The 20,269-nt window shown below is 38.5% G+C and overlaps 1 protein-coding gene across 9 annotated transcripts in view; it reads right to left on the bottom strand.

The window, feature by feature from the left end:
* Positions 1 to 934: 934 nt before the first annotated feature.
* C9orf85 (chromosome 9 open reading frame 85) overlaps positions 935 to 20,269 on the bottom strand; it is a 74,420-nt gene continuing 55,085 nt past the window's right edge. For 3 of the 9 annotated variants that reach the window (NR_157410.2, NM_001365055.2, NM_182505.5), the window contains 2 exons: positions 15,375 to 15,488; positions 13,536 to 14,301 (listed from right to left, as the gene is read on the bottom strand). Coding sequence is in view for 6 of the 9 variants with exons in the window: in NM_001365055.2 (NP_001351984.1) it covers positions 14,151 to 14,301; positions 15,375 to 15,488 (265 nt within the window). In the remaining 3 variants the exon portion in view is untranslated. Of the gene's footprint in view, positions 4,337 to 5,408; positions 5,513 to 13,535; positions 14,302 to 15,374; positions 15,489 to 20,269 lie in introns of those variants that run through there. The other 6 variants (NR_157408.2, NM_001365057.2, XM_047422767.1 and 3 more) reach the window with 4 other exon arrangements.

The following is a 20,269-nucleotide window of genomic DNA, read 5'->3' as shown; positions in this document are numbered from 1 at the left end:
CTGGTTTTCATTTCCCTAACACATTTTTCTTCCCTGAATGCCTTTCTGATATGCCTTGTTTAAATAGTCAGTGGCTTATTGAAATTTTCAGGGACTTGTTTCTGCCTGCTACAGAATGATTTTTTTTTTTTAATATCACCTTGATTTGTTAGGATGCATTTGACCTCCTGTCACTGACAGGAGAAGGGGTGAGGTCTTCTTCTGCAGACAGTAAAGAGCAGGCAGTTTTATTTCTCAGATCCTTTTACAAGATTTGAGGAGTAAGGAAGAGACAGCAGATGGTTTTGAAGAGATTCAATCACCCATGGGTACTGCTGCAGAATGTGGGTCCTGCAGGCACGCAAATATTCAAAACAAACTAAACCTTTAAATAAATAGAGACCATGCCATTACCTTCTCAATTTGGGACGATAGACATTGATATATACATTTTAACTTAATATCAACATGAAATCAAAGGGCTATGTTCATCTTTTAGTGACCACAGATGGTACAAATACCAAGGTAGATGCCAAATATACCAAGCGATGGTGGGCTGGGGTACCGGTTACTCCACCTGAGGATTACATTTTATTTTTTGTAAATCTTTACTACTAACAAGTAACGCATATACAGTAAAGTGTGCAAATTTAAGAGTATGGCTCAGTGTATATATATATTTATGTGCAGTGTGTGTATATGTACTTAACTATCATCAGATCGAGAAGTAGAACATTTCTAGCACTCTGGAAGGTTCCCTTGTGCTCTCTTCTAATTATTACCACCCTACCCCCAAGGGTAATCACTATCCTGACCTCAATCACCATAGATTAGTTTCACCTGTGTTTGATTTTCACTTAAAGGAATGATACGATATTACTTCTTTTGTGTCCAGTTCTTTTTGGTTCATTATGTTGTGAGATTCAGCCATGTTATAATGCACATCACTAGTTTATTTCTTTTTATTGCTAAAGAGTATTTTATTGTAAATATATATCACAATTCTTTATTCTTTCTGTCACTTATGGGCATTTAATTTCTTTGAATAAATTTAACAAGTTGCAAATGAATATTTAGCAAATTGCACTCAGATTAAAATAACAAAATAATCTCTTATCAGAAGCTAAGAAATACATTTTCCTCCTCCTCATCCATATCCAAAGACGGTTCTGAAAATGCCTTTTCTTCTCTATTATAGCAACACCTAGTGGCTTGAGAAGGCCAGGTCTAGAGGTATGCATTTACGGCTGGGAAACACTGACCTTTAGCTTTGAAGACCTCAGGTAGCACCTAGGCGTCGGCTATAACCGCATAACAATGGTCCCCATCTGAAACCATTTAAGTCAGAATCTTTGGAGGAAGAGGCCAGGATTGGTAGGTTATAAAAGTTGCCCAGATGATTTTAATGTGCAGCCAAGGCTAAGAGCTACTTATCTAGACCAGTGGTTTGCAAACTTTTGTCAAATAATCAGAATCGCGTTTCAAACACAGATTGCTGGGCCCCGCCCACAGAGTATGTTTCAGTAGGTCTAGGGCAGAGCCCAAGAATTTGCATTTCTAACAAGTTTCCCAGGTAATATTGATGCTGCTAGTCCAGAAACCACATGATAAGAACCACCGATCTAGACTAAGTCTGTTATTTAACGCAAGAAAAAAACTGCAGGCCAGACAGTTGAAGCAATTTGCTGGAGTCATGGAGTCAGATAGTGACAAAGTTGTAACTAGAACAAAGGCCTCACAATTACTTTCCTCTCATCAGATATATCTAAGCTTGGATACTGCTGAATGTTATGCCATTTGAAGCTATGTAAAGAGATCACTCCCCCGCAATAAAAATGTAAAACAAATAGATGTTTGGAGAGGTGGGTGAGGTAACTCTTTTCCATAAACGTATTTGCAAAAACGTAAACATCCTGAGAAAGCGGAAGCAGAACACATACACGAGGACCAGTACTTGATGAGGACAAGAGAGATGGGAAACAGGCTGTGGAATTCCTTTCGGCACCCTGAATGTTAACCCCTGCTCAGGAAAGGGTGCATCTGTCTTCATCATGCCTCTCTCTCCTCCCCTCCTCCAGCCACCTCCCAAAGGCAGAGCTGCCGCAACCTGCCTGGCCCATGTGGTGGCAAGTCACCCAGTCAGGAGACACCCTGGCCAGTAGTTTATCTCTTTCTTCCACATCTCTCCTATAACACAAGATTTACTGTGTTGGTGTATTTTCCCATGACTCCTAAATCTCACTCACACTTGCCCCTTACAATAAGATTTTCCCAAATATGGCTGGCTTGTCTCCAACAGTTGTGGCCCACATCTGCCAGTTAGACAGCCCTGTGCCTGAGTCTGTAGCGCAACAGCTGTGGGGCTGGGTGTGAGCCTGTCCTCCTAGCTATGCTAAGCATGCTGTAATGACACACTACCCTGGCAGCTTGGACCTTTGCCTGCTGAGCCATTTTGGCCTGCCTTAGTGGCTCCCTGAACTGTATCAGGGTGTCACATGGCAGGAGAGCTTTGCCCGTGGAGCTGGGGAATCTGTATTTTAAATACATGTTACAGGTGATTCTAAAGTACACTTCTGGGAAGTGTGGACATTTTCAGCTCAGGATTTAAGAAGGAGCAGATTTATTCTACCAATGGGAACAGAGAAGAGAGAAAGGAAACTGCATCAACCAGAGATTGCAGGTGCAGAGCATTCTCATGTAAGATATTTAAAAAACTGTTTTCTGCAGAAAAAAACTGATGAAGATTAATTTTTGAATAAGGACATATGCAAAGACTTAAGGACTGTCTGCTATGGAATAAAAGGCAGCCAGTCTAGTGGTGGACAAGAGCAACTTGAGGGGGAAGAAACCCCAAACAGAACAAAACAAAGAGGGTCTAGAATATACCAAAACGATCTCTGCAACTACAGTGGTTACATCAACAGTTTCTTAGGAAAAATCGGGCTAATACCAAAATTCACATTTTGGCTTTGATGGTTTGCTGTATAAACAGTTTTCATCATTAAAGGAAGGTCCAGTTATTCTTTTTTTCTTTCACAAAGTCCCTGATTGAATCACCTCCTCCTTCCAGCATGTTTGTTTATTTACATACATACAGAGACACAAGTACATACATACATATATCCTATTACTGGCATCTCACTTTGACTTAAAGATGATGAAAGCCATTTCAGTCACTATCTCAGGGGATGCCACTTCCCTTACCTCCCCTGTCACGTTGGACATACCCACAATAGACCCAATACAGAAGAAAACAAAAATTCTTAGAAGTTCATACTGACTTACCTACTGAAGCAATGTACCAGATTACGTGTTCTTTACATGCCTTCCAATTCTAAAAATCTATAAGAAATCACAACTGCACACACAACAGGTGCTCTACAGTTTTGTAAATGATGCAGTATGTGCCCAGGCGTGGCAGCAGATAGACTTTCAGGCTTCAGGAGTCCAAACCTCTGTCAATACCAGGATTATTATCCACACCGTTAGTTTCTTAATGTGAAGGATATCTCAAAATTGATGTATAACACATTACAGACAGCGAGAAAATATTTCCAAATTATATCTGATAAAGGACTTGTATCTAGAATATATATAAAAGACTCATAACTCAATGGTAAGAAAACAACCCAATTTTTAAAATGGGCAACACATCTGAATAGACATTTCACCAGTGAAGATATAGGATTGGCTAATAAACACATGAAAAGATGTTCAGTCGGCTGGGTGCAGTGGCTCATGCCTGTAAGCCCAGCACTTTGGGAGGCCTAGGGGGGCGGATCACAAGGTCAGTAGATGGAGACCATCCTGGCCAACATTGTGAAAACCTGTTTCTACTAAAAATACAAAAATTAGCTGGGCATGGTGGTGTGTGCCTGTAATCCCAGCTACTCGGGAGGCTGAGGCAGGAGAATCACTTGAACCTAGGAGGCAGAGGTTGCATTGAGCTGAAATGGTGCCACTGCACTCCAGCCCGGGCTATAGAGCAAGACTCCATCTCAAAAAACAAGGAAAAAAAAAAAGAAAAGAAAAGAAAAGATGCTCAGTCAACATCATGAGTCATTAGAAATATACAAATTAGGCCAGGCATGATGGCTCACACCTGTAATTCCAGCACTTTGGGAGGTTGAGGCAGGCAGATCATGAGGTCAGGAGTTCGAGACCGGCCTGGCCAACATAGTGAAACCCCATCTCTACTAAAAATACAAAGATTAGCTGGGCATGGTGGTGTGCGCCTGTAGTCCCAGCTACTCGAGAGGCTGAGGCAGGAGAATCACTTGAACAAGGGAGGCGGAGGTTGTGGTGAGCCAAGATCCTGCCACTGCACTCCAGCCTGGGCAACAGAGGGAGACTCCATCTGAAAAAAAAAAAAAAAAAAAAAGAAATATACAAATTAAAACCACAGTGAGACTTCACACACACTAGAATGACAATAAATCAAAATGCACTGACAATTACAAGTGTTGGCGAGGATCTTGAGCCTCCTCAGTGTGGAGTCCTCACAAAGCTCTAGGATTGTAAAAGGGTGCAGCTATTACCACAAGTTTGGTGGTTCCTTAAAAACTAAATATGAATTTACCACACAATCCAGCAATCTAATCTCCCTCTTAGGTATATATATCCACGAAAAATGAAAACATATGTCCACACAAAGAGTTTGCATGCAAGTGTTCACAACAGTATCATTCATAATAGCCCAAAGTGGAAACAATCCAAATTTGAAGGGGTAAACAAAATTAGTATGTCCATACAATGGAATGCTATTCAGAAAAAAAAAAAATGATGAACTATCGGTACATGTTTTAACATGGCTCTACCTCAAAAATGTCATGTAAGGTGAATGGAGCTAGACTCAAAGACTACATATTTTATGATGTCATTTATATGAAAGGTTCATAAAAGGCAATTTTATGGACACACAAAAGATTAAGTTGCTTGGGGCTGGGGAGTGGGAATGGGGAGTGGCTACAAATGAGCATGAGGGATCATTTTGGGATGATGGAAATGTTCTAAAACTGGATTGTGGTGATAAATGCACAATGCTTGTCTATTTACCAAATCGTTAAATTATACACTTAAAATTGGTGAGTCTTACACATGTAAATTATGCCTCGATAAAGCATTTTAAAAATATAGAGACAATTATCACTATGAGAAAAGCTTTCATACAATTTAACTGACTTTACAGCACAATGAAGGCTGGTATTTTTCTCAGTAATTCCCAACCATTTCCAGGCCAAGAATTCCTTTTTAACAGCAAAAAAATCATAGCCCCACAATAGTTAAATTGAACCTTAAGCATAAATTGAGGAAATACATAATTTCAGGAATACTGTGATAATTTTAATTGAATTTGGACTTAACTAATCACATCTACTACATATAAAAATAGAATATAAATAGCAAGATATAGTAGTCAGTCTACTAACAATGTTAAGTGCAGATATAGAATCACCAGCTCCTCCATACAGGTGGGGTCTCACTCAAGGGACAGTGACTCCTGAGTTGAAACTCCTTCTAAAGCTTCCAACTCCTTAATGCAGCAGTGAACCAAGAAAAGAAAAATTGCTGCTTTAAGTTCAATTCCATGATGTTTTTAGTCATCTCTGCAATTAGTTTACAGCTGGGAAGAACATGATTTATTTTTCGGACTAGAAGCATGTCCCATGTGTGGGCAAAATTTACTTGACAAGTGGATCATAGAAAAAGAGGATGCTGTATGACTGGAAAAATATACAGAGGTTGACTGGTTAGATGCTGGTCCAAGCATACTATGGAGCTGTTTTGTGGATTCCTGATTTGTCTCTAATCTATCCCCTAGGGCCCATTTCAGTTGTACCTGCTTGTGTAACCACACAGCTACAATGCAAACTTTATATCAGATGTTCATGACCTTGCAGAGACAGCCTGGCCCCTCACTGTGGCTTGCTTCCTCTGGGATTTTCATTTTCTGTTGGATATCCTCTCACATTTACGGACAGTAGTATAGCATCATTAAGCATTTCCAGCATTACCAGTTGAGGATTTCCCACACATAAATCACTTAATAGGATCTGAAGTGTACTATTACCATGACCAAGAAAGGGATTCCAAAATTGTTTCCAAATTATTTATGAAACACTTGTTTGTTTCAGTAAGTCTTGTTTTTGTCACTGTCCACTGGCAGCCACTCACACTGCACCTGCCTTGTGTCAGCTGGCAGCCACAAGTGTTGCAGAGACGAGAAACATAGGAGAAACTTATTTTTAAACAGTGTGTAACTGTTTAGTTACACTTCTAAATAGTGAGCTCAGAATGTTTTTGGGTGAAGTATATAATATACTATTCTCCCTGTGTTTCCAGATTACTCATTATATGTTTTTCCAGAGTCACAGTTGGACCTATTGCTTTAAATTTAGAGTACTTAGCCAGAAAACATATCGAGTACAGTACACTGTTGGGAAGTGTAAATAATATAGTTTTAAAAATCATTTTATCTTATGTTTCCTGACTTTGCGGACATGTTGTAATATCCTCTGCTAAGGGATGTCAGTTTTGTCCTGTTCTAGACCATCTTTTCTAACCTCAGCTGGTCACGGCAATTTCCCCAGGGCCAATTCATTTCCTTTTTCAGTTATTTAGGTCATTGTTCCCATGTTATGATTTTTCTTCATAATGGCAAAAGAAATAAATAACTCTTACAGATTAAAGAAAAAATATAGGCCAGGTGTAATGGCTTACACCTGTAATCCCAGCACTTTGGAAGGCTGAGATGGGTGGATCACTTGCAGTCAGGAGTTCGAGACCAGCCTGGCCAAAATGGTGAAACCCTGTCTCTACTAAAAGTACAAAAATTAGCCGGGCATGGTGGCGCGCACCTGTGATCCTAGCTACCCTGAAGGCTGAGGCAGGAGAATCGCTTGAACCCGGGAGGTGGAGGTTGCAGTGAGCCGAGATTGTGCCACTGCACTCTAGCCTGGGTGACAGAGTGAGACTCCATCTCAAAAAAAAAAAAAAAGAAAAAAGAAAAAGAATTTGTCACAATAAATTTGTAACTATATTAAACAAGTAAAAATAAAAAGTGGAATACATAAGGTCATACTGAATTATGCTAAAAATTTATTTGTAATTTAAAATGCAAATTTAGAATTTGAATAAAAGTTCAGTGTAATGGAGTATGTTTTTCTAATTCACTTTCTATTTTTAGTTCAATTTTGTAATTTTAAAATATCAATTTTTTGATCACTTGATTTACTCAAGTTCCTTGGTGTGTGTGTGATATCAATTATAATTAGCAATAGTTATAGTTTTGACAAAGAAATAATGGACAGTTTATAAAGTTGTTACTGTCAATATTTTTTCTAAAGCTTGCTATTGCACTCACACCTTTATGGGTGGTATTATTTAAGGGTCTATAACTCAACAAGTATTAAAAACTGTGAATAGCAAGCCTGACTTTCCTGTATAAATGTTTTCATTGGAGGGGTTTGCTTCTGCCCTTTCAGTGTAATAGGAATTCCGTCTCCAGGTTTCTTTCTTTTACCTCCATCCAAGAGTTTCAAGATTACCTGCTTCCTACGCCCACAAAACCCCCTAGGATGATTTGAAAGGAATGTCTCAACCAAAAAGTATCAAGTAATATTTATAAACATCATGAAGAGAGTCCCTACTATGATAAGTGTTTTCTACATATTTAATACTCACAATAAGTTTACACTGTAGAAATTACAGCCCTCATTTTTCAAAGAAAGGCACACATAACATAACGTCACGAAGGTAAAGAAATGAGAACAGTGTCACAGCGGTGAGATTCAGATCATTCTGCCTCAGAGTGGTTTTATCTACTACTCTTGTTTAAGTCAAGATTTATGTTGTTTCATTTTAAGGCATGGATTTCACAACAATACATTACTACTAATTTATTTTTAAAAGTGTTATTAGTTTTTAATTGAGGTAAAACTGACATACAACTAAATAAGCAAAAAAACATTTTTTTTTCTTGAGACGGAGTCTCACTCTGTTGCCAGGCTGGAGTGCAGCGATGCAACCTCAGATCACTGCAACTTCCACCTCCTGGGTTCAAGCAATTCTCCTGCCTCAGCCTCCCAAGTAGCTGGGACTACAGGCACCCGCCTCCACGCCCGGCTAATTTTTTGTATTTTTAGTAGAGACGGGGTTTCACCATGTTGGCCAGGAAGGTCTAGATCTCTTGACCTTGTGACCCACCCACCTTGGCCTCCCAAAGTGCTGGGATTACAGGCCTGCACCACCATGCCCAGTCAAAATAAACAAATTTTAAGTGCTGAATTTTATGTTTCTGTACCTGTGTAGCTACCACCTGGATCAAGATACAGATGATTCCAGCATTCCAGAAGTTCCCCTCTTATACACATTCCCAGTCAATACCACCTCCCCAAAGATAACCACTATTCTGATGTCTATCACCATAAGTTACTTAAAACGATTTCTGAACTTTGCATAATGCGGCCCATAAAGTATATAATACCTTGTGTCTGGATTCTTTTGCTCAAGGTATCTGTAAAAAAAACTATATTTTAAAAAATGTTAGTTACAACTTATGTTGAATTCAAAGACATTTGATCTACTTTAAAAATGAAAAAAAGTGACCGGGCGCAGTGGCTCATGCCTGTAATCTCAGCACTTTGGGAGGCTGAGGCAGGCAAATCACCTAAGGTCAGGAGTTTGAGACCAGCCTGGCCAACATTGCAAAACGCTGTCTCCATAAAAAATACAAAAATTAGCTGGGCATGGTGGCGGGCACCTGTAATCCCAGCTACTTGAGAGGCTGAAGCCAGAGAATCTCTTGAAACCGGGAGGCAGAGATTTCAGTGAGCTGAGATCGCGCCACTGCACTCCAGCCTGGGTGACACAGTGAGACTCCGTCTCAAAAAATTAAAAAGTTCATTTAAAATATTTAAATGATTTACATATAAATGTTTACTATTAAAATTTAATCCATATACTTCAAATTAACATTGCTAGAGGTTATAGAAATGTTTAAACCAAGTTTTGATGAAATACTGTACCACTTGTACCACTTAGTTTAAAGGTGCAACCACATTAAAGTTTCATGTATGAGATTTGGAAAGGTATGATTTTTTTCAGTAGGTATGATGATTGACAAAATTGTGGGACTCACTAGCATAGAGATGAGTAAGCAATTCTAACCCCCTAGATTCCATCAGTGTAGCCAGTAAAAATTGTGGAAAGTGGTCCTGTAACATTCAGTATTGCTGACAAATCTGAACAATACGAGAGAAAAAAATTCTATGCCACAATTACAGGGCAATCATTCAATACAGGATTAATGTTACAAGGAAAGGAAAAGACCTAGAAAGAGGGGTAAAAGGAAGGGACAAAGATGTGTTAAAGGTTAATATTGTTATATATTTCACTTAAGAAAAAAGTTTAGGATCATGGAATATTTATAACTTTGCATAAATGTGACATCTATCAGTTTTAATTTTACATTATAAATGTATAATGTGTATAAGATCTATCTTATATAAGATTTAGGTCTTACATATATAATCTTGTATACATGGTATATCAATTCTTCTTTTGCAGAATGTAATCAAACAACCAAATTGATAAGCCTTCACTACTAATGAATCATTTTTTGATACACTGATCTTTCTCTTTTTGCCATAGCACGTAAGTGCTATAAAATAGGGTTATAAAACTTGCTGAGGTATCAGCTGGGAATGCATTTGACTGAAAGTAACAGAATTTCTAATTAGCAACAGCTTATGCATTAAATGTCTAATGAGACGTGTAATTAACTTTTTTTTTTTTTTACAACAAAAGAAACTTTATTTAAAAACTTTTTTTTACAGATATGGGTGCTTGAAAAAGCTCTGGACATGTAATTATCTTACAAGAATTCTAGAGGTGGGTGAGCCCAGGGCTGGTTAGTTCAGCAGCTTCACAATGTCAGGGCTCTGGATCACTGTCTCTGCAGCTCGTTTGGTACCCCTATCATGGCTGCAAGCTCTAGACATCATGCTTCCTCACAATCATATTCAGGTAGAAACAGCCTGTTTTGAAAAGTGCTTTCTTCTTGTCAGTGAGGTAAGTCTTTCCCAGATTGTCTCAGCAGATTCCCCTCATATGCTGGATACTCCTAGTTGCAAGAGAGGCTTTGAAAGAGAAAACGGGACAACGGGGGTACTATATTCTAGTATGTAGAGAAGTAAATAGGCATGGGAATGGCTTTTTGCCATATGCAGCTAATTGTATTTGTTACAGTTGATCAGAATCACCTGAGGAGTTGAAAAAAAAAAAATCCTGGGCTATATTCCAGACCAAATGAACCACAATATCCCAGGAATAAGAATTTTTTTTTTTTTTTTGAGATGGAGTCTCGCTCTGTGTCCCAGGCTGGAGTGCAGTGGCGCGATCTCGGCTCACTGTAAGCTCCGCCTCCCGGGTTCATGCCATTCTCCTGCCTCAGCCTCGCAAGTAGCTGGGACTACAGGCGCCCGCCACCACGCCCGGCTAATTTTTTGTATTTTTAGTAGAGACGGGGTTTCACCACGTTAGCCAGGATGGTCTCGATCTCCTGACCTCGTGATCCACCCGCCTCGGCCTCCCAAAGTACTGGGATTACAGGCATGAGCCACCGTGCCCGGCCAATAATTTTCTTAAAAGCTCCTCATATAAGTTTTATGATCAGAGCTTTGGCACTTCTATAATAAAGCACTGTAATATTTCAGAATATGTGAATGCAGTCTTGATATCCTCCTGCCAGATATCAAGGTGCAACAAATTAATGCACTACATTAAAGTGATTCATTTCATTAAAACAAAACAAAGCCTTCATCTCATTTCTGTATGTTATGATACAAACAGCTTTTGGACTAGAAGGGTTAATTCCTAAAAATATATGTAGAGGAACTAAATATAATAAAGTCTGCTTAAAATACAAAACAATCTTTCTTAGCACTAAGGAATGAAATGCAGCTATTAATATATGTCACTAGGTGATGCTCTTTGTTAAATTTTTTTCCTGGTAAAGTCATCTGAGGAATTAGTATTCATTCACATGGGAAAGAATTTATGGTAGGTCCAGTAAGACTTTAGTTGGCTCCTTAATCACAAAAGTTAAATAGTCCAGAAAAGAAGTTTATATGCAAAAAAGGAAAGCCACACAAATTTATGGACAGAAAATTTATTTCTTTTGAGACAGAGTTTCACTCTTGTTCCCCAGGCTGGAGTGCAATAGCGCTATCTTGGCTCACCACAACCTCTGCCTCTTGGGTTGAAGTGATTCTCCTGCCTCAGCCTCCGGACTAGCTGGGATTACAGGGATGCGCCACCAGGCGTGGTTAATTTTGTGTTTTTAGTAGAGATGGGGTTTCTCTGTGTTGGTCAGGCTGGTCTCGAACTCCCGACCTCAGGTGATCCGTCCGCCTTGGCCTCCAAAAGTGCTAGGATTACAGGCGTGAGGCAACACGCCCAGCGGGACAGAACATTTCTTTCAGTCAGGCTATATGTTTAGAATACTGAGACTTTCAAATTGTGAAGATAGTATTTCTATTCATTTTTGTCTCCACGTTTTTTTTTTTTTTTTGAGATGGAGTCTTGCTCTTGTCACCCAGGCTGTAGTGCAATGGCGCGATCTTGGCTCACTGCAACCTTTGCTTACCGGGTTCAAGCGATTCTCCTGCCTCAGCCTCCGGAGTAGCTGGGATTGCAGGCACCTACCACACCCGGCTAGTTTTTGTTATTTTTAGTAGGGTTTCACCATGTTGGGCAGGTTGGTCTCAAACTCCTGACCTCAGGTGATCTGCCTGCCTTGGCCTCCCAAAGTGCTGGGATTACAGGCATGAGCCAACTCACCCAGCCTCCACTTTCTTTAATGTCTTGATAAGATTTTATATTTTTGTTGACAGAGTTCTTGAATACTTTTTGATGTATTCCCAGGTAATATTTTCTGATGTCAGTGAAATGTTATCTATGTCTGCACTTTTTTTATGCTGAAATATTTTACAGTAAATTAGTATTACATCCTTAAGTATTTCAGTATGGATTTCTAAAATAACATTCCACTTAAATTATTCCCTAATATCACCTATTATCAAAAGTGAAATAGCCAATAAACACAAAAAGGGGCTCAAGCTTATTTGTAATTAGAAATACAATTATTAAGACAAAGAGATACTATTGCACACATATTCAACTGGCAGAAATTTAAAAGTCTGATACCAAGTATTAGAAGATGCAGAGTGCTGAAATTCTAATCCATTTCTATGAACAAGGGGATAAAATCTCTCCGGCAAAGTTTTGTTTTACATAGCAAAAGTGAAGATGCATCGACCTGATTCCCTCTACCACTGCTAGATACATACCTAACAGAAATGCACAGGTCTACCAACAGACACATGTAACAATGCTCATGCTAGTATTGATGTAACAGGAAAAATGTGAGATAACTCAAATGTCTCTCAATGTTAGAAAAAACAAACTATGGGCCAGATGTGGAGGCTCATGTCTGTAATTCCAGCATTTCGGGAGGCCAAGGTGGGTGGATCGCTTGAGGCCAGGAGTTCGAGACCACCTGGCCAACATGGTGAAACTTCGTCTCTACTAAAAATACAAAAATTACCCAGGTGTGGTGGTGCAGGCCTGCAGTCCCCGCTACTAGGGAGGCTAAGGCAGGAGAATCACTTGAACCCGGGAGGTGGAGGCTGCAGTGAACCGAGATCATGCCACTGCACTCTACCTGGGCAACAGAGCGAGACTCCATCTCAAAAAAAAAAAAAGTAAAATAAAAAATAAAAAATATGGCCTGGCATGGTGGCTCACACCTGTAATCCCAGCACTGTGGGAGGCCGAGGCAGGTGGATCACCTGAGGTCAGGAGTTCAAGACCAGCCTGGCCAACATGGTGAAACCCCGTCTCTACTAAAAAGACAAAGATCAGCTGGGCGTGGTGGCGGGCACCTGTAATCTCAGCTACTTGGGAGGCTGAGGCAGGAGAATCGCTTGAACCCAGGAGGTGGAGGTTGCAGTGAGCTGAGATTGCGCCATTGCACTCCAGCCTGTGCAACAAGAGTGAAACTCTGTCTCAGAAAAATAAATTAATAAAATAAATAAAATTAAAGAAATAAAATAAGAAACGTAATAAAAAAAGAAGAGTTAAAAAAAAAAAACAACAAAACCCAGACCAAGCTAATTTATATTGTTTAGGAGTACAAACATGGGTAGTAAAAAAATTAAGACAATAATGATCAAAATTCAGAATAGTGCCAACTATGGGAAGAAAGATGAACTTTTGCTGAGGGAGAGCCTCACTGGGGTGTCCTGATGCTGGCAGTTTCCTCACCGAGGTGTGTAAATGCATGAACTTTCCTTTATAATTATTATAAAAAATGCATACACTTATAAAGTGTATAAATTATATGCACTTTTTCTGTATGTACATTTCACGAGAAAAAAGTTAAAATGTGATGAAATATATAAAAATACAAAGCAGAATTGCTATACGCTTGTTAAACATTATTATTTGGAAAAAATTGCTTTTACTTTGTAAAAATTAAACATAAGCGACAGGGCTTTTGCTATGAGTCATTTATTTGAGATCATTTATCAAAAGGCACTTACCGAGGACCAATTTTTGAGGCAATGTAATAATGTTATTTTATTTTTACATGAGCTAGTTCTTATACAACCATCAATTCTGAATCTTGTTTAGTTTGATGTTAAGTAATATACACAATTTATATTGTTCATGTATGAAATTTGTCTATTTTTCCATAGCTTTTTCTGATTTCCTCATTAGGATTTCAAATATCTTTTGGAAAATACTCAAAGCCAAAAGGTGGTCAGAATTTCACATTCTAAATTGACTTTTTATTTTATTTTTTTTGAGACAGAGTCTCACTCTGTCACCCAGGCTGGAGTGTAATGGCACGAACTCAGCTCACTTCAATCTCCGCCTCCAGGGTTCAAGCAATCCTCCTGCCTCAGCCTCCTGAGTAGCTGGGATTACAGGCATGAGCCACCACGCCCAGCTAATTTTTTGTACTTTTAGTGGAGATGGGGTTCCGCCATGTTGGCCAGGCTGGTCTCGAACTCCTGACCTCAGGTGATCCACCCTCCTTGGCCTCCCAAAGTGTTGGGATTACAGGCGTGAGCCACTGTGCCCGGCAGACTTTTAATACAGTGATATTAATTCATTTGATGGTCTCCTCCTGTGTCTTCTAAATCAATATCAAAATCTAAATCATCATCACTTTCTTCATTTCTTCTGCAGCTTCTTCTATGGTTGGAACTTAGATTATTTTCAGTATGTTCTATTTTTTCTGTTTCTTTATTCAACCTAAAGATGAAAGAAAAAATTTCTATTTATTTCCCAGGCTATCATTATTTAACCATGTAGATTGAAAAGACTTTTACCACTACACTTCTTGAATAACAGAAACCTAATGAAGTAAGTATAAAGAAAAAGATCCACCTGGGAGTGGTGGCTCATGCCTGTAATCCCAGCACTTTGGGAGACCAAGGCGTGCAGATCACCTGAGGCCAGGGGTTCGAAACCAGCCTGGCCAACGTGGCAAAACCCCGTCTCTACTAAAAATACAAAATTAGCTGGGTGTGGTGGTGCAAGCCTGTAATCCCAACTACTTGGGAGGCTGAGGCAGGAGAATCGCTTGAACTTGGGAGGCGGAGGTTGCAGTGAGCCAAGATCGTGCCATTGCACTCTAGCCTGGACAACAAGAGCGAAACTCCTTCTCAAAAAAAAAAAATCATTGAACGCTAACTTGAGATCCAACCAATTATAATACTATTGTCACTAAAGTAGGCTCAAATAAATTAATATATGATGTCTATTAAAAGAAAAGTTGTTAAATAATGTGTAATTCTTTTGTAATGAATATGAATCTCACACATAAATATTTTATTTTCTTAAAAATATAGTTTCACTTTTATTGTAATGATAGAAAAATAATTTTAAAAGTCTATATTAGTTTGACATACAACTTAAGTCTAAGGGTTATGGATCACGGATCATCTCTTTTTTTTTTTTTTTTTTTTGAGATGGAGTCCCACTATATGTTACCCAGGCTGGAGTGCAGTGGCACCATCTCAGCTTACTGCAACCTCTGCCCCCCAAGTTCAAGCGATTCTCCTGCCTTAGACTCCCGAGTAATTGGGATTACAGGCGCCTGCCACTGTGCCCGGCTAATTTTTTTGTATTTTTAGTAGAGATGAGGTTTCACCATCTTGGCCAGTCTGGTCTTGAACTCCTGACCTCGTGATCCACCTGCCTTGGCCTCCCAAAGTACTGGGATTACAGGCGTGAGCCACTGCGCCTAGCAAGGATCATCTCTTAAAAGAAATTCATGTATCAATCACTAAGAGTAAAATTCAAACATAAAAGGAAACACTCACGGAATAACAATGTCTTCTTTCTTTCCACATTTTGCGCAAACTTCAAGTTCACAGGCACATGGCCTGCACATTATGTGATAAGAATCCTTCACTGTCTTTTGTAAACATTTAACACTAAAATAAAAAATAAAATGTTAACTTATTTATGTTTATTTCAGACTTATTTGATAAAATAAGATGTGTCTAAATGTATAGTTAAAAAGCCTAAGAAATCAAAATTCCTAGGTTTCAATTTCAGGTGTTTATCTTATGTCACTCTAAATTAATTATATCACATTTCTAAATAACAGTTTACAGCTGCAGAATAAAACTGCTGGATATTTATCCACTCTTAAAATTTTTTAAAGTGTCATTAAAAATGTGTTAAAACAAGATCAATATACAAAACTCAACTGTATTTCTATACACTACCAAGAAACAATCTACCAAAGAATAAAGGAATAAATCCAATAAAAGAAGTGCAAGACCAATACACTGAAAATTACAAAACATCACTGAAAGAAACTAAAGACCTAACTATACGGAAAGACATCCCATATTTTATATGAAAAGACTTAATATTGTAGGCCGGGAGTAGTGCTCAGGCCTGTAATCCCACCAGTTTGGGAGGCTGAGGCGGGCAGATCACCTGAGATCAGGAGTTTGAGACCAGTCTGGCCAACATGGTGAAACCCCATCTCTACTAAAAATACACAAATTTAGCTGGGTGTGGTGGCATGCCTGGGAGATGTGCCACAGTACTTCAGCCTGGGCAAGAGTGGGACTCCATCTCAGGAAAAAAAAAAAAAAGACTTAATATTGAGAATATTGAGAAGATAGCAATACTCCCCAAACTGATCTACAGACTCAATGAACTCTCTATTAAAATTCCAGCTGGCTTTTTTTGCAGAAATTGACAAGCTAATCCTAAAGTTCATACAGAAATTCTAGGCACCCAGGATAGCCAAAACAATCTTGAAAAGGAACAATAAAATGTGAGGATTCACATGTATTGATTTCAAAACACACTACAAACCTACAGTAACCCAGACTGTGTAGTACTGACATAAGAATAGACGTATATAGGTCATCAGAATAGAATTGAGAGTCTACAGGCAAAATAGTGGAAATATATTATGGATTTATAGAATATGTAAAAGTAAAATGTATGACAACAATAATACAAAATTGGCCGGGAGGAATTGGAAGTATATTATTATAAGGATCGTGAGGTACTTATTCTGTATGAACGTTATCAGCCAAAATGACAATTTTAGAACACTCTATACAAGAGCAATACATTGTCTTCAAGTATACATGGAACATTCTCTAAGACAGACCATATTCTGGGCCATGAAACCAACCTCAACATATTTTAAAAAAGAAAAAACTGGCCGGGTGCCGTGGCTCACGCCTATAATCCCAGCACTTTGGGAGGGCGAGGTGGGTGGATCACCTGAGGTCAGGAGTTTGAGACTAGCCTGGCCAACATGGTGAAACCCCGTCCCTACTAATAATACAAAAAAAATTAGCTGGGCATGGGGGAGCACATCTGCAATCTCAGCTACTTGAGAGGCTGAGGCAGGAGAATTGCTTGAACCCAAGAGGCGGAGGTTGCAGTGAGCTGAGATTGTGCCATTGCACTCCAGCCTGGGCGACAAGAGTGAAACTTTGTATGAAAAAAAAAAGAAAAAACCCTGAAATTTATATAAAGTATATATCATCTTGCCACAGTGAAATTAACAAAAAATCAATAACAGAAAATATCTAGAAAATGCTCAAATATTTAGAAAATAAAACACTTCTAAATAACCCACAGATCAAAGAGGAATTCACACACACAAAAAGAAAATATTTTGATTGAATGACAATGAAAATGCATCAAAATTTACAAAACGGAGCTAAAGAAGTCCTTGAGAAATTTATTTTAATACATGATTACAAATTATATTAAACAAAAAAGTTATCTAAACTTTTACCTTTAGAAAATAGAACAGTAAATTAAACTCAAAGCAAACAAAGGGGTGCTGTAATAAGAACAGAATCAATGATACTGAAAACAGAAAAATAAAATCAATGCAGCCAAACGCAGGCTCTTTGAAAAGATCAATATAATTCATAAATACATACACTGAAACATCAGGAATAAAAGATGGTACAGCACTATAGATCTAACAGACATTGAAAGAATAATAAGAGGCTGGGTGCAGTGGCTCATGCTGGTACTCCCAGCACTTTGGGAGGCTGAGGCAGGTGGATCACTTGAGGCCAGGAGATTGAGACCAGCCCAGCCAACATAGTGAAACCACATCTCTACTAAAAATACAAAAAATTAGCTGGGCATGGTGGTGTAATCCCAGCTACTTGGGAGGCTGAGACAGGAGAATCACTTGAACCTGGGAGACAGAGGTTGCAGTGAGCCAAGATTGCGCCACTGCACTCCAGCCTGGGTGTTAAACACAGCGAGTTCTAAGTTTCTCTTCAAAGAATCAGTATGTCAGTATGTTCAGTTCTTTGTTCTCCATTTTCAAGTTTAACTTCCTTGTTCTCTTCATCTCTTTGCCCCTAGTTTCAGTAAACAACCTTCCCGCCAGTTCTAATCAGTAGTTCACATCTGTTCCCCTGGTCACCTGCTCCGTCCTGAGTCACCCCTGGTCACCTACTCTGACCTGAGTCACCTTTAGTCACCTATTCCATAACCGTCTTTCCTGCCGAAACTGCTCACCCCGCCACTCTGGCTCATATCCCTGCTCTGTTTAAAATAGCCAGTTGGAATTAGCTTAGATTGTGTGGTCCAACCCTAGCCAATAGGGGAACGACACAGCAGTAGAGGCTACCTGCGTCAGGGATAAGAACCCCTTCCCCTCCTTTGTTCAGGTGTACTCTTGCCATTGCTCCATCCGCGAGACACACCCTTCTATAGAAGTAAAATTGCCTTGCTGAGAAAATTTATGTTTGAGTGCTATTTCTTTGGTGGCACCGAAAATTTATTTCTAACAAATGACAAAGCAAGACTCTGTCTCAAAAAACAAAGAATAATGGGAAAATTTTAGATTTAACTCTATGCATATAAGCCCAACAACTCTGTAGAAATAGCCAAAGTTTTGCAAAGAAAGAATATCAAAACTCACTGAAGAAGAAATAAATATACTCCTCTATCCATTAAAGAAAAATTTAATCATAACTCTAAAAAAACTCTCCTAATTTTTTTTTTTTTTTAAGGAAAACTCCAGGCCCAAATGGCTTTACTGGTAAATTCTATCAAATATTTAAGAAATAATACTGATCATATACAAATCCTTCCAGAAAAACAAATAGGAAGAAATATTTTTCAACTCATTTGATAAGGCTCTAATATCAAGACAAAAAAAAAGCAAACAAGAAAATGACAGATGAGTATTTCTAATGAACAAAGATGTAAAAATCCATGACAAAATGTTAGCAAATCAAATCCAGCAATATATAAACATCTTGCACACACGCTTGCTCACTCTCTCGCATGCTCATTCTCTTGCATGCACTCTCTCTCTCTCTCTCTATATATATATATATGCAGCAATGGATTTATCCTGGGAATACAAGGCTAATTCAGTATATTCAAAGCCAATAAAAAAAATTCACTAAAGCAATGTTCTAAGAAAAACCATATGATGATGTTATTAGATGTGAAAAAAGCTTTACAAAAATATAACATCCGTTTATAACAACTCTCAGTAAACTATGAACTGAAGGAAACACTCTCAACCTAAAAACAGATAACTACAAAGAAACTACAGCTAATTTCCTACTTAATGATGAAAGACTGAATACCTTCCCTGTAAGATCAGAAACAGGGCAAGAATATCTGCTCTCAACACTCCTTTTCAGCATGATATTGGAGGTCCTAGGCAGTGCAATGGCAGCCAAAAAAAAAAAAAAAAAAAAAAGAAAGGTCATAGAGATTGAAAAGAAGAAATAAGTGTCTTTATTTAGAAGAAAAAATCACTGTCTATATAGAAAACACCAATGAATCTATTTTTTAAAATGAACTGGACATAAACAGTGAGTTTAATAAAATCACAATATATGGGGTCAGTAAACAAACATAAACTGTATTTTTATGTTTCTAGCAATGATTAATTACTTTGTATAAGAAAAAGCAAAGAAATTACAACAGCCAAAAGAGTTATGAAAATGAAAAATGAGGTTGGAGAATTCTCACTATGTGATTTCAAGACTTATCACAAGGTAGTGATCAAGGTAGTGTAGTACTGGTGAAAGGACACACAGATCAATGGAATAAAGACCAGAAACAGACCCACGTACATATATGACCAACTGATTTTCAAGATAGTAGAAAGGAAACTGAATAGAGAAAAGACAGTCTTTTCAACAAACAATGTTGGAAAAACTGACTATCCCTAAAATTAACAAGAAATAGAACATAAATTCAAATATAAAATCAAGAATTATACAACTTCTAGAAGAAGAACCCTCAGCTAGGCAAAGACATCTTATCTACAACAACAAAACCATGATCTAGAAAGAATAATTTGTTAAATGGGCCCTCTCCAGAATAAAAAATGTCTCCTCTTCAAAACACACTCTTAAAAGAATGAAAAAACAAGCCAGAGGGTGGCACAAAACTTATTAAGTATTTTGAACATCTTACAAACGGCCAGCAAAGCTGTCTTTTGTGAGGATGATTTGCATCTGCAGAGGAAATAAAGTGAAGTAAACAACAGATATAAACAGGCTTTCTCTGAATCCCGCCCTTGTCTGGATCTAGGAAAGATCAACTCAGCTCTAAAACTTTAAAGGTCTGACAGAAACATTTACCAGAGGCCCTGTGGGGCTACCACCTGTGAGGTTTCATCTGCATAACAAGACTGCCTTTGCCCAGGTTTCTCCTCTTCTCCCCCACTCATAACTGTCTT

Source organism: Homo sapiens, chromosome 9 (genome assembly GCF_000001405.40).
Source record: "Homo sapiens chromosome 9, GRCh38.p14 Primary Assembly".
Taxonomy (NCBI): domain Eukaryota; kingdom Metazoa; phylum Chordata; class Mammalia; order Primates; family Hominidae; genus Homo; species Homo sapiens.
This window is presented reverse-complemented; position numbering and strand designations above follow the sequence as displayed.